The sequence below is a fragment of the Homo sapiens genome, chromosome 1, assembly GCF_000001405.40.
Source record: "Homo sapiens chromosome 1, GRCh38.p14 Primary Assembly".
Lineage (NCBI taxonomy): Eukaryota > Metazoa > Chordata > Mammalia > Primates > Hominidae > Homo > Homo sapiens.
The window spans coordinates 187233870-187258059 of record NC_000001.11 but is presented as its reverse complement, the minus strand read 5'-3'; the positions used below and the strand labels follow the sequence as shown (position 1 = coordinate 187258059).

The 24190-nt window shown below is 33.5% G+C and overlaps 2 long non-coding RNA genes across 3 annotated transcripts in view; both read right to left on the bottom strand.

The window, feature by feature from the left end:
• LINC01036 (long intergenic non-protein coding RNA 1036) overlaps positions 1-24190 on the bottom strand; it is a 267403-nt gene that overhangs the window by 102185 nt on the left and 141028 nt on the right. The window lies entirely within an intron of this gene.
• LOC105371655 (uncharacterized) lies at positions 2199-4169 on the bottom strand. 2 transcript variants are annotated; one of them, XR_001738341.2, is made up of 3 exons: positions 3517-4169; positions 2938-3087; positions 2199-2328 (listed from the first exon to the last, which is right to left on the bottom strand). It is a non-coding gene; the product is annotated as an uncharacterized LOC105371655 (long non-coding RNA). The 2 variants fall into 2 exon arrangements; XR_007067041.1 differs by having other exon boundaries at positions 2199-3087.

Sequence of the window (24190 nt, the reverse complement as noted above, 5' to 3'; positions counted from 1 at the left end):
TAAAACCTATATTTTATAGCATAATAGGGTACCTACAGTAAATAATAACTGAATTTTGTATCTTGAAGTAACTTAAAGAATAAAATTGGATTCTTTGTACCTCAAAGGGGGAATGCTTCAGGGGATGGACACCCCATTCTCCATAATGTGTTTATTTCATATTGCATGCCTGTATTAAAATATTTCATATACCACATAAATATATATACCTACTACATACCCAAAAATTAAAAAAATATATATATATATAGAGAGAGAGAGAGACAGAGACACACACACACACACACACACACACATACACACAGAATCCCTAGAAATGAATTTATCATAAAATATTGTCTTAGGCAATTATGGTGACTAAGAAGTCCCATGATCTGCCATCTGTAATCTAGAGACCGAGGAAAGCCTGTGGTTTAATTTGAAAGCCTGAAAGCTAGAGAGCCAGCGGTGTAGATTCCAGTCTAAATCTGAAGGTCTGAAAACTAGGAGTGCCACGGACAGGAGAAGATTGATGTCTCAGCTCAAACAGTCTGGCAGAGAGGGAATTTAACCTTCCTCCACCTTTTTGTTCTATTTAGGCCCTCAACAGATTGGATGCTACCTACCTCCATTGAGAAGGCTATCTGCTTCATTTAATCCAGAAGTTCAAATGCTAATCTCTTCCAGAAACACCCTCATAGACACACCCAGAAATAATATTTAATGACATATCTGGGCATCCTGTGGCCTAATAAAGTTGACAGCTAAAATTAACCATCACAATGTACTATTTATAAAAATGTTGAAACTCATTATATTTTTAAGAGGCATACAACAAAACAATAAGTAGACTATCCCACTAATTTTCACTGGTTTCTCATGATGGACTATATGTAATAACATTTGCTTCTGATAGCCAAAACACAGATTATGGTTTTTAAAAGACTTTACTTGCAACAAAGTGGTTTAACAGGCTATAAGACCCTTAAATCAGCTTCAAGTTGTGAAGTCTTGCCATATCTGACTTTCTTTAATAATAAAGATCATTTATTGTTTTGGATAATAGATATGTTTGCAGATAGGGCTGAGAAGTGATACAGAAGATGAACGCAATAAATTTTCTCTATCTGCGTAAAGCCAATGATAGTCCCGAGAAAATCCTGAGGAACTCATATGACTTCACATTTCAAAGTTAGCTTTTTTCTGTAATTATGTGGTAAAAAAGTAAGTTGCAACACACACAAATAGGAAGGTTTTTTCAGTCAAACAAAATTATTTGGGAATTTTGATCATAAGGTTTTGCCCACCCTGAATATGAGAATCTTGACAGTCTTACAGGCTACCTCACAGCTATATATCAATTTACAATGGTGCCTGAATGGGTTCTGAGCCAACACAATTAAAATGAGTCAGAGAGCATACTACCTGTTAGTTTCTATAGCAATATATTTCAGAATTGCAAATACCACATAGAACTTATGATCTGAATTTTTATATTATTATTTGGTGTTTTGATAGAAACCCTTGGCCAAGTGTTGCTATGAAAATGTCCTTATGTTATCCTGGAAAATATTTCTCTTCCCCCATTGTCTAGGTTGGCTAAATTCCTTCTATGTGTCTCAAAATGCTCCATGTCCTTCTAAGTAGTTTAGAGATTCCCTTGTAGAAAGTACCTAAATAATTGCTAAGTGGTATCAGCTTTTCTTTATTCTAGTCACAAAGCTAAGCTTTTAAACAAGAGACATTATCAGCTACATTGATAAGAAGTCATTTACCCTAATGCTGTAGTAAGTGCCTGATAACAGTCAATTTTGTTCTTGCCTTCTTCCTTCATTTGTATGTCCCAATTCTGCTGCTTTTAAAGGGTATATGACACTGTCCACGTTCTCAGATGATGGTCTCAATTATTACACAGTCTATGCACCAGACATATTGCTAAGCAATTTATATTCATTCTCTTTCTTTTTTAGCCATTACGACAACTCTATAAGATAGGTGTAATTATTCACTTTTTAGCACTTCAGGAAACTCAGGGTTTGTGTAGTCATTTAACTTGTCCAAGTTTTCATAAATTAGAGACACAGAGGGAATAAAATAAAATTTTAGTTATCAGTGATGCAAAGAAGCATAGCATTAGTAAGGGTTCTCCAGAGAAACAAAACCAATAGGATATGTTTCCATATCTATATCCATCATATATATATATACGTACACACACATGAGAGAGAGAGATTTATTATTCGGAACTGGCTCACACAATTATGGAAACACAGAAGTCCCATGATCTGCCCTCTGCAAGCTGAGGACCCAGGAAAGCCGGCAGCGTAATTCCAGTCTGAGTCTGAATGCCTGAGAACCAGGAAAGTCAATGATGTAAATCCCAGTACAAGAATCGGAGAAGACTAATGGCTTAGCTCAAGCAGGCAGGCAGGAAGTAAAAGGGGTGAATTTCACCTTCTTCTGCCTTTTTGTTCTATTTAGGCCCTCCATGGATTGAATGATGACCACTCACACTGGGGAGGAACATTTACTTTACTGAGTCCACTAATTCAAATGCTAATCTCATCCAGAAATGTCTTCCCAGACACGCCCCGAAATAATATTTAATCTTAGCACCCCCTGGTACAGTCAAGTTGACACATAAAGTTAACCGTTACACACATCAATATAAAAAACTGTTACATGCATAGGCTTTGGGTCAGGTCATCTGCATTCAAGTCTTGGTTCCAATCCTTTGCTGCTTTTGTGAACTCTTGCAATTATTTAACCTAAGCCTCAGAATTGTCATCATTGTAATAGGCATAAGGATCATTCATAACTCATAATTGTGAGTATTTTTGAAATAATGCATATAAACAGCATAGCATAATATCTAGGATATTATAAATTCTCAACTAGGATATTATAAATTCTCAACAAATGTTACTTATTAACTATTAATATATTTTATTTTCCTACCACATTGATGAGAGAGAGTTATTCTTCCCTGCATATTTTTTTTTTTGAAAAAGTGTAACTTCCATCTGACTTAAAAAACTTCCTCTTTTTCACAGAAATGTGGGCAGCATCACTGGAAATCCTTCTGATTTCATTAGTAGATTGTTTTGCCTGAAAAAAGATGTCACCATTATGTAGACTACACAAAAACAAGCAAAAATAAGCACAAAAATCCAGTCATAATTGAATTAAAAATTCACTTCCAAATATTACCTCTGTAAAACTTTATTCCTTTTTTGTTTGTTTGTTTGTTTTTTGTACAGACAGTGTGTCTCACTTTGTTGCCCAGGCTGGCCTTGAACTCTTGGCTTTAAGCAATCCTCCCACATTGGCCTCCCGAAGTGCTGGGATTACAGGTGTGAACCACTGCATCAAGCCTCTTTTTTGATTTTTTAAACCACTACTATGTATTTACCATATGATAAGAATTTGTCTAAGGTCTTTTTACTTAGCATCTACTTCTCAGAGTAACAGTGTAAATTAGGTATTTTTATCATCATATAGTAGACAAAGAGACAGAGCCCCAGACAGTTACTTAACTTTTCAAAGATGATACAGCCATTATCTGACAGAGCCTGAGTCTGATCCAGATCTTCCAATTCCAGAACACTTTCTTTGCACCAAACCACAGTCTCTCCTCATGAATCAATTTACATTTGTCACACGATCAACGTTTACACTTTGGCATTCAACATTAGTTGAAGTTGTCTGTGAGTTTTGAAGTGAAAAAAATTCACAATCATCTATGTATCAAATTAAATTAATAAATACATAACCAAGATCTAATTAGTACTGCTAAAACCAGTATCAAAATGATAATGAAGAGGATAATTCTACCCTGAACTTACTGGTTTTGTAAGAAAGAAGTTTTACATTCTTCTTAGTAAAGTTTCAAAATCCTATTCTCCCAAGAGTTCTTCAATTAATACCCCCTTCTTAGGCAACAGTAGGAGCATAAAAGTCTTTTTATGGTACACTATGTTATGTGATGACGTATTTTCATCTAAATAAATCTACCTCTTTATTCACTGATTTTCCTTTTCCCAGAGTTATCATTCCTGGTCTCACTGTACAGCAAGTATTTTGGAATTTCCTTAGAATAACAAAGTCATACAGTCTTAGAAAGAAAGTGACTTTGGAGATCATATAATTTAAAACTTTCATGTTAAAAATGTAGATGCTAATATCCAGAAATCATGAGTGGCCTGGTCAAAGTCTTGAAAGAGAGGCATAACAAAAATCTAGCTTTTAGCCTCCTGATGCATTCAATATTCCTTCAAGAACTACTTATATAAGAGAGTTCTAGACCTGTAAGAGATGTTTCCTCTAAAAGAAGCTTATGATTTGAATAGAATGAAAAAAAACACACACAAATAAACTAATTGTCAGTTAAGAAAGGATTTCTGTTAGTCCGTTACCATGGTGATATATACATACATGTATACATATATTGACAACATTATTATTGGAAGTAGAAATAATGTACAAAAAGTGATGTGGTACAAAGTATAAATTCTGTGTCTATGAGTATTTTAAAACACAAAAGTAAAAAAAGTTGGTTCAAGACAGAAAATCGCCCTGAATGAGGGATGGGTCAGCATGGTTGGGCATCTTTCCCAAGGAAAACTGCTCATGCTCTTAGGCTAGAGCAGAGAAAATGTCAGGTCTCAAAAACGCAAATGACACGAGAGAAGCTACTTCCTTCACATTAACTCAAGAAATAAGACCCTGGCACCTGTGAGATGCTGAGTCTTTACTCTCCTTTAAAGGCTGCTTTTGGATTTGGGAGGAAAATACTAGGATTATGACTCTCTAGCAGTGTAACAAATAATTTGCTGCCACAAAATTATTGGAATAAATTGACAAGAAACATTAACTGTCTCTATTACCAGTAAAATTGTGAAAATATGAGAAAAATGTCATCCTGGAGCAGATCAATCATTTACGCATTCCAGTAAGTGAGCTCTCAAAATGTTACATTGAAGATTTCTAACTTCCTTTGACAAGCTGACATGCATCTGCCATCAATTAATTTATCTGAACTATTCTTGAACAACATCACCTTTCTGGGAAATGACTTTCATATGTTTATAATCACTTTCAAGTGTGAAAAGTCACCCTTATTCTAGTAATTAGAGATCAAATAAAAAGATCTGAAGTTACTGTATACACATCCCTCAGAATGTTTTGGACTTCAATCATTTCCACTTTCAGCTTTTATCTTCTGAGGCTATTGCCCTTTGTGTGTGTGTGTGCACCATTAAATGGAAACTGGTCAATCCCATTTCATCTGCAACTCTATCAAAATGTCCAATACCTTTTTAAAATGTGATGATTTACTGGAAAACTACTAAAATCTATTTTATAATTCCTTTTGAGGCAAAAACACTTAAACATAAAAATAGCTCACATAATAATCTGCCCAGAAAGAACAAACGTCTGTATTTTGTTTTTTAAATATTGGATGGGTATAAAAAATGGTGTAGAGTAAATCACACTAAAGATGATCGGCTCAGGTAAATAATCTCTTCCCAAAAGAATCATTCTGTCTACACATAATGCTGATCACTCTGCTACTCCAAATTGGATGACAATTTCTCCTAGTAACTATGGATAACTAAATAAAATTTTATTTTGAAAAAATAACAGGGAATATTTAAATGTGTATGATACTGATAAGATTAATATGCACTGTAATATTAATTTCTTTTTAACGTAAAATTGCTATCATGCATACTAATTTTATATTTCTTTTCTCCTATTAAAATATATTATCTAACTTTAAATTTTTCAGGCAATAGTTATGGAATCGGAGGCAGAACTGAGGGTCTAACACATTGTAGGTGTTCCTTAAATATATTTGAATGAGCAAATAGGCAGTTTCAGGCAAACATCACATCTATTCATTTCATACATAAGAAGTAATATTTCATTTGAATAATTTATCCAGTCGCAGTTGCTCACGTCTGTAATCCCAGCACTTTGGGAGGCTGAGACGGGTGGATCACCTGAGGTCAGGAGTTTGACACCAGCCTGGTCAACATGGTGAAACTCTGTCTCTACTAAACATACAAGAAAATTAGCTGTGTGTGGTGGTGTGGGCCTGTAATCCCAGCTATCAGGAGGCTGAGGCAGGAGAATTGCTTGAACCTGGAAGGCGGAGGTTTCAGTGAGCCAAGATCACACCAGTGCACTCTAGCCTGGGTGACAGAGCGAGACTCCGTCTCCAAAAAAAAAAAAAAAAATTATCAATATATAATTTTTTGCTATCTTTATATATTATGGCTACAGAAATAATTAAAATACTACTAAGATCCAAATAGAGTGTTTATACTTTCAATTAACAATTCATTATAAACAATTATTTATTAACATAAATTTTAAGGTTGCACAGAATTCAGTAAAATGTAGTTTATTTAAACAAGTTAATATTGTTTCAAATTGTTTTTTAAATATTTTATCTTGTAAACAAAACTATGAAAATGTGAATAAATTGCATTTTTCAAGTATATTGGCACATAGTACTTAATACATTTGTTGAATGCATTCATGAATGATTAAAAGTAGTAATTATTTTCTTCTTCAGAAGGACTTAATGAACTATTATATTGGGACTATTAAATGTGTCCAAAAAGTTTTTGATAACAATTAAATTCTCTTAATAAGGTATTTGTTATATCTCATAGGAATCAGGAAGATTATAAAATAAAGTATTTCATTGTAATGTATACAAAATGTATACATATATATACATACATAAATTAGACCAAAAATCTTAAATTTTTACAACATTTTTTGTCTTTAAGCCATTTTTTCTTTCATTTTATTATTTTAATGGACATATTATAATTGTGCACATTCATGGGGTAGATAGTGATGTTTCAAAGCATATAATGTATAGTGATGAGATCAGAGTAAATAGCATATCCGTCATCTGAAACATTTATCATTTCTTTTTGTTGAGAACATTCATTCCCTCCTTCTAGCTATTTGAAACTATATATTTTTGTTAAATTAAACATAATGTTAAATTTGGTTATCTCTTAGAAATATACTTCGTGAAATGCTTTACTGTTTTAATTTGTTTTCTCCACTTTCTAGATTTTGAACAAACAATTATTTGGCACTTAGTATTTGTTAAGCAGTAAGGCAGGGGCTGAAGACAGAGTGAATAGGGCTAAAGTCAAGGATAGTTAAACATGAAAACCTGGGTGCTTTATTACAATTTAGTAAGATGGGCAGAAGCAAAAGTAATTGGAGAAGGAGCTTGCCACTATGTCTTAGGCAAAGGCTTTTTAAAATACATAGATACTCCGTGGTCACCAGTGAATGTCTATCATGTATATACTCAGAACATTATAATGAAGGCTAGTGTATTTAAATTGACTGAAGAAAGAGAATTAAAAGTTTAGATTCTATTTGAAAAGTCAGGGAGATGGATTCAAGTATCAAGTAAACAGTGCATGTTCAACAAATGACTTATAACAAGTGGTTTGATTCTGCTAGCAAACTAAAATCCATTTTAAAATAAAAGATAGAGAAATTTCTTAATGATTACCCCAGTGATATGAATTGTATTCTCAGACTTCATACAGACTTCTGTGTCATGTTAGATGAATCATTTAAGCTTTTCAAACTGCCATCTATCAAAATATCTCGGTAATAATTATGTTAGGTCCAAGAGGAAATTTATGAGGTTGAACTTAATTTTTTTTCCAAAATGAACAGGCAGGACCAAGAAAATGTCCACAATTATTATTTTATGTGAAAAAATAAACAAAAGAATATGAACTTTTTTCCAAGAGCATTCTGGTTCAAAAGTAAAATTTAATTTTTTGACATTTTCAAGGCTTATATATTATAAAAGGCCTTGTATGTGAATGTTTTCCTGATTAGTTTTTTGGGCCTGTTTGTTTTAGAGATGAGGTCTTGCTAGGTTGCCAAGGCTGGAATGTAGTTGGTATTCAGAGTGGCAATCATAGCCTTGAACTCCTGGGCTCAAGCAATCCTCCTGCCTCAACCCCCCTCGTAGTTGAGACTTTAGATGCATGACACTGCACCTGGCTTTCTGATTCATTTTTGTATATAAAATATAATAATTCTGTTCTGGCATATGTTAAGACAAATCTTTGGGATTATTCTAAGGTTAGATCAAAGGAGGATTTCATTTTTTTCCCTTTAATGTTAATTCAGCGTTTCTAAAGTACTGTGACTTTTTAAAAAACAGGGGAAAAAACTACTGTGAGTAGACATGTTGCCAAGTGCAGAGGTTAAACTAATATTTAAAATCCAGGAAATGTAATCTTATAACAAATTTTAATTATATAGCTCATTAAAAATAAAAGTTTATGATTTAATAATGTATTTTAAAAGCTTATGTAGGTGAGTTAAGTGATATGAAATGTGCATATATACATTTTAAAATAAAATATTAAATTAAACATTTTAAAATATTTTCTTTGCAAACAGATTTAAAAAGAAATCCATCACAGGTGTCTCTTGAATAGACTCTTTGATTTTTTGGACAGGTTAGTACATTATTTTATATATACTTACATACATTTCATTTTATTAGGAAAAAACCTGAAGTCTCCAGAACCAAACTGTCTTGCTCAAGACCATATTGCTGCTAGTTTCATGGTGTATGCTTGTAAGAGATTCCTTAGAATAGATATGACATCAGCCTTAAATGAATAAAAGCCCAATGACTCTGAGAAACCTATGTGAGTGGTTGATTTCATTCACTTGATACTCTCTGGTGGCCTATTTAGTGGCATCTTTGAAAAGAAGGAAAATTATTAATGTAATTTTTTTATGCTCCCTTAATATCGTATATGCAAATTCATAGACATATGTGATATTTTCATGTAGGATATCTCTCTATATATATAGGTATAGCCCCAATTAAGATGTGAGGAGGAAAAGAAAAATTAATTCACAATTCAGTGTTTAAATACTGAACTTCCAAGACTTCATTTCTGAAGGTTACCATCTCTGAGAGTAAATATAAAGAGTTTTACAAGTGGTGAAGAAATTCAGAGACAGAAAGGATAGAAAGTAATTTATGTACATGAGCTATTAAGCCATGGCTTTGAATAGATGAACTGCTGAATATATAACTTGAAGATACTTTTTTTTTCCTTTCTTTTCTCTCTCTCTCTCTCTTTTTTTTTTTTTTTTTTGGTCTGAGACAGTGTCTTGCTTTGTCACCCAGACTGGAGTGCAGTGGCACAATCATGGGTCACTGCAGCCTTGAATTCCAAGCTCAAGCAATCCATCCACCTCAGTCTCCTAAGTAGCTGGGACTATGTACAGGAACCCGTTACTATGCCTGACTTATTTTTGTATTTTTGTAGAGATGCGGTTTCACTGTGTTGCCCAGGCTGGTCTCAAATTCCTGACCTCAAGCTATCTGCCTACCTTGCCAACCTGTAAGTGCTGGGATTATAGGTGTGAGCCACCACACCCAGCGAAGATCCATTTTTCTATATTGGAATATGTTTTTCAATTTAAGATTTTCCTTTATCCATTCGTTTGTTGATGGACATTTAGGCTGTTTCCCTATCTTGACTATTGTAAATAATGTCACAATGAACATGGGGCTGCAGACATATATTTTCAAGATATCTATTTCATTTCCTTTGAGTATATACCCAGAAGTGAAATTGCTGGACTGTATGGTAGTTCTATTTTTAATTTTTTGGGGCCCCTCCACACTGTTTTTTCATAATGACTGTACTAATTTCCATTCCTGCTAATAGTGCCCAAGAGTACCCTTTTCTCCACACCCTCGCCAACACTTATGTCTTCTTTGATAACTGTAATCCTAATAGGTAAGAGAACATATCTCATTGTGGTTTTGATTTGTATTTCCCTAATGTTTAGTGATGTTAAGCATCTTTTCACATACCTCTTGTCCATCTTTTTGGAAAAATATTTACTCAGGTGTTTTGATCCTTTTTAAAATTTTTTGTTATATTTTTGTCTGTTTTGAGTTGTGTGAGGTCCTTTTATATTTTGAATATTAATCTCTAATCAGATGTTTGGTTTGCAAATATATTCTTTCATTTCATGTATGGTTTTTTCACTTTCTTGATTATTTCCTTTGCTATGTGGAAGCTTTTCAGTTTGATGGTCCCACTTGTTTAATTTTGTTTTAGTTGCCTGTGCTTTTGATGTCATATCAAAAAAGACATTGCCAAGAACAAAGTCAAGGAGATTTTTTTTCTATGTTTTCTTCTAGAAGTATTATGGTTTTAGATCTTTAAGACTTAAAGATGTAAGTATTTAATCAATTTAAAGTTACTTTTCATGCATGTTGTAAAATAAGGGTCTGATTTCATTTTTAAAATGTTGTTGATTTTTTGATTTTCAGTTTTCCTTACACCATTCATTGAAGAGATTATCTTTTCTCCATTGTGTAGTCGTAGTGCCCTTGTCAAAGGTTAGTTGACCAGATATGTACGGATCCATTTCTAGGCTCTCTATTCTGCTTCGTTGGCAGACACATATTCATATGTGTCTCTTTTTATGGTAGTACTATACTGTTTTGATAACTACAGCTTTGTCATATATTTTGAAATTAAGGAGTGTGATGCCTCCAGCTTTCTTCTTTTTTTTCAAGACTGTTTTAGCTATTTAGGTTAAACAAATTTTCTGGTTCTAAACAAATTTTAGAATATTTTGTATGGCTGTGGAAAACAACATTAAAATTTTGAAAGAAACTGCATTAACTCTGTAGATCATTTTGGGTAGTGGAATTTACAGATTGCTTTGGGTAGTATGCACATTTTAACAATATTAACTTTCAATCCATGAACATGGAACATCTTCCCATTTATTTGTGTTCTTCTTCAGTTCTTTCATAAATGTCTTATTATGAGATAGAGCAAATCAGTTCTAAAAGGGAAGTTTATAGTGATAAATGTCTATACACTGAGAAAAAACAAAGATTTCAAAAAACTGACTTCACAACTCAAGAAACTGGGAAAAGAAGACAAACTATGCTCAATGTCAGCAGAAGGAAGAAAACAATTTAGACTGGAGCAGAAATAAGTAGAATAGAGACTAGAAAGACAGTAGGAAAAAATCAATGAAACTAAGAGTAAAGAGCTTGAATCAGTAATCAAAACCTGCCAACAAAGAAAAGTTCAGGACCAGATGGTGTCACTGGTGAATTCTACCAAACATAAAAAGATATCAATCCTTCCTGAATTCTTTCCAAAAATTGAAGGGTTATTTGAGTCCAAACTCATTTTATGAGACCAGCATTACCATAATACCAAAGTCAGATAAAGACACTACAAGAAAAGAAAATTAAAGGTCAATATCCCTGATATGGTTTGGCTCTGTCCCCACTCAAATCTCACCTTTAATTGTAATAATCCTCTAGTGTCAAGGGTGGGGCCAGGTGCAGACAATTGGATCAGGGGAGCAGTTTCCCACATACTTTTCTCATGGTAGTGAATAAGTCTCATGAGATCTGATGGCTTTATAAATGGGAGTTCCCCTGCACAAGCGCTCTTGCCTCCCGCCATTTAAGACGTGACTTTGCTTCACATTGGCCTTCAACCTTGATTGTGAGGCCTCCCCAGCCATGTGGAACTGTAAGTCAATTAAACCTCTTTCTTTATAAATTACCCAGTCTCGGGTATGTCTTTATTAGCAGCATGAGAACAGACTAATACAATTCCTGATGAGCATACATGAAAAAACCCTCAACAAAATACTAGCAAAACAAATTAACAGCACATTTTAAAAAATCATACACCATGATCAAGTAGGATTTATTTCTGAGTTGAAAGGATGGTTCAACCCATATAAATCAATAATTGTGATATATCACATTAACAAAATGAAGGATACAATTTATATGATCATCTTAATAGATGCAGAAAAAGACATTTGTCAATATTCAACACCCTTTCATGATTTAAGAAAACTGCATAAACTAGGTATAGAAGGAATTTTTCTCAGCATAATAAATAATATATATAATAACGTTATACTTAATGATGAAAAACTGAAAGATTTTCCTATAAACTCAGGAAAAAGACAAGGATGTTCACTCTTGACACTTCTATTCAACAGAGTACTGGAAGACCTAGCCAGACTAATTAGGCAAGAAAAAGAAATAAAAGGCATCAAAATTGGAAATGAAGTTAAATTGTCTCTGCCTATGACATGATCATATATATAGAAAACCCTAAAGACTCCACCAAAAACAAACTGTTGGAATTAATAAACAAATTCACTAAAGTATGCAAAATGCAAAATCAACATACAAAAATCAGTTGCATTTCCATATACTAACAACAAACTATCCAAAAAATTAAGGAAACAATCCCATTGACAATAACGTCAAAAAGAATAAAATATTTAGGAAGAAATTGATAGCCTTTATAATTGTGTCAGCCTTTTCTATTAGTTTTGAGTTTCTTAACTACAGGGATTGTCTTTTTTATCTTTGCCACACTTCTGCTAAGCTTAGTACTTGCCACATAGTAAATATGGAATAAATATATGTTAAATAAATATTTGGAGTATTAATAATATAGCCCCTGAGAGTATTAGATTACTAATAGAGGTAAGGGCTACTTTTGGGAAAGAGTTAACAAACACTACTAGAGGAAAAACCTCACCTCCTTTATAATGTTAATGCTATAAGTTTCTTTTATGGAATCAGGCATTCAAAAAGCACCAGTAAAAATGCAAATACGTTGCCCACAAGGCATAATATATCAAGTCACTAACATCCACTCTCAAAGAACAGACAAGCTTGAATGTAAAGTTAAGTTTAGATGATATAGTTTCCCCAAGTATAAGCCAATGCCCAGTGAGAAAAAAAAGTAGTGGATATCCCAGTGAAAATTAAATATAAAAGTTGAACAGAGTAAGCAATGAAAATGTCATCTATTTCAAAATAGGGTCTGACCATGTCTGTAGAGAAAGCAACACGTGCTTTGAAATCATGAACGAGTAAGGAATACTATCCTATAGGGACAAAGAGGTTTAGGAAAAAAAAACTTGAAAAATAATAAAACAAAAAGGATAAAATAACCATTGCCCTAAAGCTCAGTGTAGCAAATACAAGCTTTTGAATATTTTTTTGCCCTTTCTTGTCACCCTTTCATATTTGTTACCCTGCTGCAGTACAAGTGATCACAGAAACACAATCGACCACTGTCATTGAGTCGTCAGAGTCTTCCGCATACCTGTTGGAGGCCTCTCATTCATGTCAGCATTTTAGGCATGCTATGAAATAATGCTAAGAGTTTCAACCTCAGGTTTCTGGGCTTCCTGCCAGCTCCTTGCTTGTCGTTCTCTCCCTAGGACAACAAGGAGGATACATCTGCTGCCCCTGACCTTGTTATTTTACTTTTCTTCATTTTCTTCTATCTTGAAACATGTTCTCAGACCAAAAAAAAAAAAAAAAAAAAAAAACTTAATCACTAACTATACTGTTTCTTCTCCAGCTAAAAATTACACTCTAAGTTCTTTTGCTATAATTTCCCTTTAGTAATGATTTCTATCATTTCTGTGGCGAAATTTCTCTCCATATATATGTATATATGTGTATTCATATAGTTATATCTAACATCCTAACATTCCATGGAAAAATTTTACAAAATGTAGCCTCAGAAAAAAAAGCATTTTCTTTCAGGGCCCTTTGCATGCCCTTCCAACAACGCTTACTTTGTGGATTCGTATATTTTATTATGAAAAGCCAACAGGAAATCTTAATAATAAAAGTAAAAGTTGATTTTTGGCAACCTCTAAGATGGCGCTAGAGTCAAACCCAAAGACAAAACAAGTGGACTAAAATCCTGGCTCTTCTACTTATCAGCTTGCAAAATTTATTAGCTTGTGAAATTAATGACATTGATCTATCTGTCTTTATTTTCTGACATATAAAATGAAAAACAAAATCAGTGACCACCCTACAATTGCTGAAATTATTTTTTAGTATAATGCAGACAAAGGAGTTTGCACAGTGTGTGATACAGGTAAGACCACAACATATGTTAAGTTGTCACAACTCAATTACTAGTTATATCAATGCCCCCATTCCATTCTCAGCTGAGTGATGACTCAATAGTGTAAAATTTGATGAGTTCTGTAAGCATCTAAATTGGCATTTACATCAAAGAGAATTGGAAAGTTATCTATGTCTTCACAAAGGGCTTCAAAAGAGTTATCATATGGAATGTTGGGGGATGCCCTTGAAGTTTTAGAAAAAGATTTGCAACTATTGAAGTATCAACAAAAGTTAAGCAGGGAATAGAAATTCATAAATCCCTACTTTCTTTCATTTGCATCTATAGCTCCATTTTTCCACATATAAAATGAGAATAATTTAATTAAATTCTACAACTCTTTTAAAAATACTATCTATCAATAATAGATCAAAAATATAAACAAGAGATTTCATTCTACCTAAAAAAGTTATTTTCAATGTAAAAGACTGAATTTGAACACTTTTAAACATAGGCAACATAATCTAATAAAGAGCATGGGTTCTGTCTGACCTGCCTGAGTTTAAATCCCTGCATTACCACTTACTAGCTCTGTGACCTTGGGAATACCCGTTAACCTTCCTATGCCTCTGTTTTCTCATCTACGAAATAATTATAACATTAATATGAGTCAACATTAGAACAGTGCCGTAGCAGAAATAACAGGGAAAGACAATGGGACAGAAGATGAGAATATTTATTATGAAAGAAAACAATATAAAAATAAGATAAATCCTTAGTCCCTCAAACTAAAAATAATTATCACAAGCGTATTATTTATAACTGAATGGTATGAAGGGAGATATAACTAAAATATACCAGAATGTTATATTTTATTGAATATGAGTTTTAAAATACAGTAACATGAGTTTTGGAGCTAAACCACCTGCCATTTTCTACTTGTGTAACCTTAATCAACTCTATTTTTCTGTTTCCTTGGTTGCAAAAAGAAAAGAATAATAATACCTATATTAAAGGAATGTTGTAAGAATTCGGTACATTAATTCATGAGAAGTGCTTTTAGATGAGGACCTGTTGCATAGTAAATATTCAGTAAATGTTATCAAAGGGTTTATTTTAATGCAGTTATAGAACTGTATATAAATCACTGTAACCACAGTTTTCAGTTCAATTAATTAGTATCTGTCAACCCCTAACATGATCTAATTAGTATAAACTCACTATCTTGTCATTATCTACTCTCTTGCCAGGGAAAACCTGACTGATCCCAAAAGGTAACCTAAAATTTACAATGTGAAATAATCTGAAAATATTTTATTGCAAAACAAATGTATATGCAAAACAAAATTAGAACTTTCTTGCTGTGCTCCAGCAAAGGAGAGAGAGAGTCTTTACATTTTCTTATTAAATTAGCTCTAGTTGTAATTGAAGAAATTGTATGATCATTTAAACCTACTGAGGAAATACAACAAGATTGATGTATGATTATTCTGTGAATATTGTTCAGCACAGGAATGGTTTCAAAAGGGTCTTTACTAAATCCAGCTATATTATATATCTTACAAAGAAAAAAATTTGAATAAAAATCATTGTAATATTTTATTTCTCATTTTTGTCTCCTCACATTTTTCCCAATTAGTATTTCAGTAATTTAAAAGAACTATAAATATAGATTTTTCTAGGTGGACTACATTACAACATTTCATAGTTCTATTAATATTTACTCAATCTTACTGAGGCCTTACTTACATCAGGCACTGCATAAATGTCCATCAAGTGTGAAGGGGGTATAGCTTGGAATAAACTTCCCAGTGGAAATAATATTTGATCTGAGTCTTAACAAATTATAGAGAAGAATCCTGTGACAATGTGTGAGGAAATAAACTGAGCCATTAGCAACAATTTGAAAATTGCTGAATTGCAAGAAAAAGAAAGGTGGCTGACATAATTTAGGAGCTTAGCATGATCCAGGTCACAGGTGTCCTTTAAGTCTGCTAAACAACTGGCTCTTCACTGTGTAAGAGCTGGAGAATCATTGAAACAATTGAAAGGGTGTAAGAGTGAATCAGACATACATGTTTCTTGTTTTTGAGAAGGGTTTTAGAAGCAAGATGTGCTAATTATTTAGATGTGCAGGGTAAGGAAGAAGGGATATGAGAAGGTCCTCAGATTTGGGCTTGGGAGACCATGCGAAGCTTTGTGCCACCTCCAGAGCTAGAATGGAAAGAGAGAAAAATACCTACGGAGGAAAGGTGAATTCAGATAATAAACATAGTGCATCTGTATTTGAGTCAAGTGAGGATGTCCACTAAGTGGGTGGAGACTTGAGTTTAGAAGTCAGAAGTGGGGCCTGTGTTATCAACATTATTGGATGTGGATAAGCTCTTTCTCAGAGAGTGAATGGAACATGAAAAGAAGAAAAGGATTAAGAATATTAACATGATGCCCAGAAAAATCGAATCCAACAAAGGAGGTTAAGAAGCAGTGTGTAAAGCAGAAGGAAGAGAGCCAGGGTAAGCATGTTGTCACAGAAGCAAAGGGATATGAAAGAATGTCAAAGAGAAAGGAGCCAACAATGGCAGTACAGTAAGTTCAAATAAGAACTAAATGTGTATTAGATTTGACAGTTTTTAGTTTATGGGTAATAGTAGCTAGAAAAGCTACAGTGGAATGACAATGTTGCAGTAATTTCAGAAGTGTATAGTAGATGAGAAAATTAAATGGGATAGTAAGTGGGCACTCATCTTTTAAGAAATTTGGATGAGTGAAAAAAAGAAGCTGGTAACTAAAGGACTAGAAGGATGCTTGGGGAGTATAGGACAGCTAAGCCTTATTATAATTGATGAAATGACCCTGTAGACAGGAAGTGTTTTAAATTGTTGGAAAAAAGTTAAGATAATCAAAGCAAAACTAGCACTGGACAAAGTTAAATAGGAAGACTCTATTCAAGGTGACTGTTATAGGAGAGAGAGTTTGAACTCTGAACTCAACTCAGACAAATGACTAGAAAGTTTTGAAGATCTGGGATAGGGGGATCATAGGCCTTCTCTGATCATAGACTTTGCTCAAAAGGAGAGTAAACTTTCTCATATCTTCATGACATGAGGTTGTTTTACAATTTAGTTGCCTTACCTGTGGAGGTTAGGCTCCTATCTTCCCACGGAAATTTTTCATCAAGAAAGATAGCACCCTTATTTAAGGAATGGCTTCCATGTCCTTGAAAAAGACATTTCTGGAATTTTGTGTTTTTGTTTGTTTGTTTGTTTTCTTTTTTTAAGCCAGTAGCTTTTTATAAACTTTACATGTCAAAAGGATAGAGAAAAGATTCACAATTACAAGTTTTCTAAAGTAAATGTTCTAAGTAAAGAGAGGTCAAGAGTCTACAATCGAACCCAACGGGAAGAAGCTTTTCGAAAGTTTCTTCAAGATGGCCTTAAGGCCATCTTGGTCTTCCTACAGACCAAGTACTTAGTTTAGATAGAAAAGACTGAGGTTAAGGGTAAGGGAGGAGCTGTTGAAATAAAAAAGCAGGAAATATACCCCTTCAGCTGAACCTGGAGTGTTTGAGGTCAGGCTCAGTTGGATATAAGTAAGTCTATAACAGTGGGGCAGGTAGTTGAGAGAATTTAAGCCTGGGTCTCTCAATTTTCTCAATAAAGAAGGAGGTCAGAAATAAAAAGATCTGAGATCGTGATGTGGGGTGGGTGGGAAATGGGGAAAGCAAAGATCAGGAAGACTATGGAGGCGATAAAAGACAGAGTTAATCAAACCATGGCCCCTTGAAATATAAAAACCATTCACGGACAGATACAATGTTTTTCAAAAGAAGATGTTGCCCAGGCCCCCAGCAGCATTTATAAAAGGTCTCATCATGTTTCTGAGTTGGCATCTTTTTTGATTCCTTTCTTCCACTTAAAAGGCTGAGCCGGCTACATAATTATATTTTTTTCCTCTTTTTGCTAATGATGTTTTTCAGTTCGTCTGATTTGTAAAGTTCTGTGTCAAACCTATAAAGATTTCTTGGCAGATTGTCTCCTCTGTGTATAGAATATGATAAAGAGGCATTGAATTTTCTTACCAACTTTCCTGAACTTTGGTTATTACTGTGATGCTGGGTATGTTCATTTCTCTGCTCCTTTTCACAGTGCATTAACTTTAAAATAACATCTAAGTCCCTATCTAGCTGTTTTCACATTTTATTTTCTTCTATTGCCAGCCAATGAATTGTTCAACTTTTCAGTCTCTCTTTTGGGATTCTACTTTCATTGACAATAAGAGTTATTAAGATCTGTATAGCTGATTTTTATCCTCACTTAGATCTGTTTATATCTCCTGGGTAACTTTTCTGTGCACAACTACAATTACTTTATTTCTGTACTGTCCTTTCTTTGTACCAAAATTTGATTTTGTTCATTGTTATGGTCGTATAATAGATTCTTGGACTCCTTTTTTATTTTCTTGTCATGGTTACGCACTGACTTTCTTTTTGAGGTTTTTATGACCTGATATTAAAATCTATTTGCAAGTTTTGAATACATATTTCATTTCTGGAGATTTGTTTTCTTTTGTTCTCCCATCTTGGAAATTTCCATAACAGCTGTTCTTTGGATAATGCTTTTGTTCACATTTTATTCACACCTAAAACTGTATCCCATAAATCTATTTAGAATTACATAGTCTTATTTACAAAAATACAATTAGAAATTTTAAAATCTTCCTTCTTTTAATTATGATTCTTTTATATGGGGAAGAGGTTGGACTATGTTAATTGTCAAGATCTTTTTACATCTTAGAAGATTCTGTATGTTACGAAAATGTTCCTAAACCTCATCTTGATATATACATTGTGTATCTTTTTGTCTTAGGGACATAAAAGAAAGTAAGCAATTTCCAACCACCTATGATTTGAAGATATCTCCAGGCTCAAATATGGCACCCCCCCACCACACCCTCCCCCACCACTGATCTGCCTTGATACCCTCTGTCCTCATAACTGGCATGAAACTCTAATTATGACTATGATTCTTTGAATAATAAAATTTAACTTTATCTCTCTGAGACCCCAGGAGCTATACAAGTAAATTTCCTAGGCCAGGAGTAAAATGTCCCAGATAATCATGCTTTCCAAGGGGCAATCATGACAGTTGGGGAGGAGCAGTTAGAAGGCACTAAAGGGAAGAATTACTCAAAGGGGACAACTGGGGCAATTTTAAAAGTAAGTCTAAAGTTAGCCCTGCTGTTATGATACAGGTAAGAGGCTTCATTGTGATGATAAGTTCAATATTCTCTTAGTGATTAACTTATCAACCCAATGCTATGAAGCATGAAAACGGATTGTCCCCATGTGGAGGTTAAATCATTTTCCACTGCGAATGAATGATAAGTATATTTAGCCCTTCTATTTAAATAACACTTCAAAGATTAATAAAGGGTACTTTTACATGTGCTTTCTAAGTTTTTGTTAGAACTGTCATCCTTACTTTAATAACAAGAGCACTACTTCAGCGTAAGAAGAACCAAGGCTATTGCATTTCTCTTAGTAAATAAAGAAAGAGTAATATTTAAAAAGCTACTTTTGTGATCAACAGCCATAAAATTTGTGCCCCCAACCAAAATGTTTCTGCAGTGGAAAGCCATCAATGACCCCACTGTACAGATAAACATTTCTACCTAAAGATATGTAAGATATTCTGAAAAAAATGACAATATCTGAAAGAGGTAAAAGGCCTTAAATTGTAGAAACAGCTATATTTGAATAATTTTTGTTTTCCTTTTATTTTATTTATTTTTTTTTAGCTCTTTAAGGAAGACGGGTAAAACAATTTTTTGCCCTAACATTGTTCATCAAAGATTTAGGTCATTAAAATCAATATTGAGTTTTTAAGATACCAGTCATGAAATATTTGTTATCCAAATTTGATCTGTAACAATGGAAAATATTTATTATGCCTCAAGCTTATAATTTATAATTTAAATGAATAATAATAATAATAATATCAATACTTATATATTCAGATTTCTATGGAACTCTCAATATTCTCTCAGTACAGTTATGTGCTATATAGGTGACATCCTTATTTGATGTAAAAAGTGAGGACACAAAGTTATGGTTAAAATTCATAAGAATAAATTTATTTCTTATTTTTTATATAAAAAATACGCATTCTAGTGTTTTCTCCCCTCACCCCCACTGGCCATCTTGCATTCACCTTTAGGTGCAGTCACATCATTGTAAACATATAAGATAATAAAAGTTGTTATTTTAAACATCTTTTATTGTTGAAGTAATCATCTTTTGGGGCAGTCTTACAACATATGCAGTAATCCTTTAAGATCTGTAAGCATTTCAGATGACAGTTACTATCAAATATGTACTCCTTTCAGATGAGAGTTACCATGAAAATATTTGTGTGCACATTGCTCTTCTCTGAAGAATGCCGCTGTTTAAATGTTATCCACAAATTGTGACACGCTTTAAAAGTCCTATTTCTCTTTCCCTCTGAAATACGTGTTTTCACCATGGTGCTCATTTTACCTAGAGATGATATTCTAAAGTAAGTGCATAAGATGAAAATCATATTTGGGCAAATTGCCTTTGAAAAGAGCTAATAAAGTGGTTAAGTAGAGAACAGTATACCATGTCAGTCACCTTATTCTCTCAGCATTGGATGAATTTATTTAAAGTAGCTGCTATGTTTTTAGGAGAGATGCTATTACAAAAATAAAGTGTATACCTTTAAACTTGAAAAGTACAGTAAGAGCAGGGAGATAGAGATGATCTGCCTACGAGAAACCCAAAAGAACAGCAACATTATAACTCCCAAGTCACATTTATTCAGGAGTATACACTCCTCAAATAACCTATACTGCTATAAAGCATTTTTTTTCTTTCTCTGGCTTTCTTCCTCCCCACCTTCAAATATGAACTCTTGTATTTGTGTCATTTAAATTTTTACATGACATTCACTGGGCTGGACTTCAGTGTGTCCTAACAGCTACGTGTTCTAAGATAAGACATTTAAAAAATTCGATTTAGTCATGGATCCTCTTCTGCTCATATACTACACACTATCTTGGCTTAGGAAAGAGTTGTCTGTCTTGCCTGTGAAATATCTAGTTGCTTGTTCAGCTGCCGTGTTGTGCTGTATCCCATGCCTATGCTGAACCTTTTGAGGCTGTGCTGCAATGTGATTTCATTCTATCTTCTTGTGCCCCTCTCACTTCAACTTGTCAAGCAGCCGCCACTGACAAATCCTGCTGTCATCCTAGAGAATTCACTGTTAGCAGGACTAAATAGCTTGCTAACAGTGGGCCAAACACTCTACACTGCATGTCTCTCATTCACAGGGACCAGTAATATCTGCCTTGTCTCTCCTCTCCTTTTCAGAAGGGTTCTTTCTTAAGTATCTGTATGTCATGCCAATATGCACTTAAAATAATGCATTGCACAACCATGACCCCCACCCTGAGCACACAAGGGAAGGACGAATTTAAGTGATATTGTGCCCTAAAAGATTGAAATATGAGGCTTTTAAATTGCCAGTGTAAACTAAATAAAGCGTGATGACAAGTGAAGACAAATTCATTTTACAATTCAATTTTACTTTTTCATTTCTCTAAATGGCACTATTCCCCAGATATTCCAGTATTAAGACAGGTATTATTTTAGTCAGCAGCAACTGGGCTTGACCCATTTAGATTGTCACTTCCAGACAAGCTAATATCATTCTTAGCTTGGACCCAAAACAATTGATTATTCCAGATAATGAAATTTTCTCTGGTATGAAGGCTGCTTGATAGTGCTCTTCATGGAATTCTGGGCTGACACATGCTCCCCTAAGTCATAAAGATTTTCATGGACATTCTTTGTTTCTCTTGGCAGGGGAAGATATCTCACAACCGAGGGCAAACATTTAACATTGCTTTAAAAAATATCTGATTACAGAGAGATGGCATTCAAAATGTAATCTGAAATCACGATAAATAACTGTAAAAATTATTTATCTACATCTCTGGTTATTCCTATCTTTCTCATCTTTAAAATAGTGTTGGTCTTATGAAAAAAACTAGTCTGTAGAGAATGACATGACTTATTGCTAGGTAATTTAAGAATTAAAAAAATAGATCAAATGGTTAGCTAGCAATTTGAGTTTGAAAGAAGCTTTTTGTTTTTATTTCATGTCAAATTAAAAATTTTCCCATATACGGGTTAGTCTCCTTTACTTTCACAAAATAAATTTTTTTATATATTCAGCATTAAATAAATTAAAATGTCCTGTTCTGTTATTTAATAGGCTATACCATACAATTCAGTATATAGGTATAATATTTGGAAATAAATATGGACAAATCTAACAGTAGTTAGAGAATTTCACCTAGCTGTCTGATCCAAGATATCCGTAATAGTTTTACCATTTACATACATTTTGCACTTCAGAAGGTGGATTTTGTAAAGGCAACTTATCGGATGAAGCTACTTTTGTTGCAAGAAAAAGAAATAACTACTTCAGATAATCATGGTTTTTGTTATGCCTGAAGACAGGTGGATCCCCTCTAGAATTTCAAGGCCAGGAGTTTAAGTGCAACAATCTCAGGAAAACAGGAGCCACATGGAGAGTATGGATTAAGAATTGGTGCAATAATCTTAGCAGAGAAGAAAGTTATGGTTTTCATTCCGATACTACACCATTAAGTTGATTAAGCTACGTTCTGATTGTCTATTTTCTTTCCCACTTAAAATAACTGACTGACTCCCTTTAGCTCCTATTCCTTAGCAACATCAATTTATAAATAAACCATTATACATTTTTAAGGCTCAACTAGCTTTCATGATCTTTCGATTGCAGCTTCTAACAATGACCATCAAATTCCTGCATGTTTTTAGCCATACTCCTAAGAGAGAAAAATCTGATGACTCTGGCTCATCAGGTTTACTAGATCATTGGTTGCTGTACAACTGTTGTCCTTGAAACAAGTGTTCCTGGTTGGTCTAATTGCTGTGGCTGTGGCACTCATAGTTACATGCTAGAGCGAGGTCTGTAACAAAATCTTTTTCTTGGAAAGAGATTTTCAAGGCCTATAGCATGACAATTAACCTTCCCTGCTACAAGCTGCATAACTAAAACAAGGAAGATTAATTAATCATTCAATATGTAATTAAGACATAATAGAAACACAAAATGCAGTAATCAGAAAGTATGTGAAAACAAAACATCTGTGACATAATTTTGGCCTGAGCTTAACATGTTACCAAGAGAAGCTTGAGAGGACCAAGTAACTAAAACATAGGATCATTCTTTTCATAGGCAAGTGATTTTAACTCTATTAATAAGGACTCCTTTTATGATTTCCTCCATTGTGTTTATACTGTGTGTATTTTTAAGGCAGAATAAATGTTTCCTACACTTCATAAACTGCTTCAGAGATACAGAGATGGTAAGTTTTCAGATTCATTTTATAAACTTGCATATTCTTAATATCGAGCCTAAAATATAGCATGCAAAATAATACATTATGAAAAAGCAAGTTTATATATACATAAAATAAATTTAAATAAAATGGTAACAAAAACTATTTTGGCTATATATTATGAAATTAATACAACCTGACCAAGAAGAATTTGCGGTAGAAATGCAAAAATTAATCCACTATAAGCGAGTACTTAATAGATGAGAGGAGAGAACTCAACTGTACATCCAAATAAGTGAGCAAAGGGCATTAACTCAAATTCAACATCTTTTCCTCTTTTCATCAAAGTGAACAAAACAAAATAAATAGATAAAATAACCTTTTTAATGAACTGTGGTAGAAAGACCTTTATTTATTTATTTAACAGGTATACAATAGCTGTCTCAAATGAATACCACCAATTTAATGCTCAAACATTTGCAGAATGCCTGATCATATTAGGAATAGAACAGGGAAGCTTATTATTATTCTAATGTCTACATTTTTTTCTGGAAATAAGAGACATAAAAGTTGGAAAGAAGAAATATGTATCTCTCTTTGCAGATAATATAATGATCTTAGATCAACCCAAGGCCTGCATAGATAGAAACTATTAAAATTAGTAAAAGATATCAATAATGAGAATAAATTGCATAACCACTGCGGAAAAGTTTGGAGGTTCCTCACAAAACTAAAAATTGAGCTACCATATGATCCAGCAATCCCACTGCTAGTTATATACCCCAGAGAAAGGAAATCAGCATATTGAAGAGATACCTGCATTTCCATCT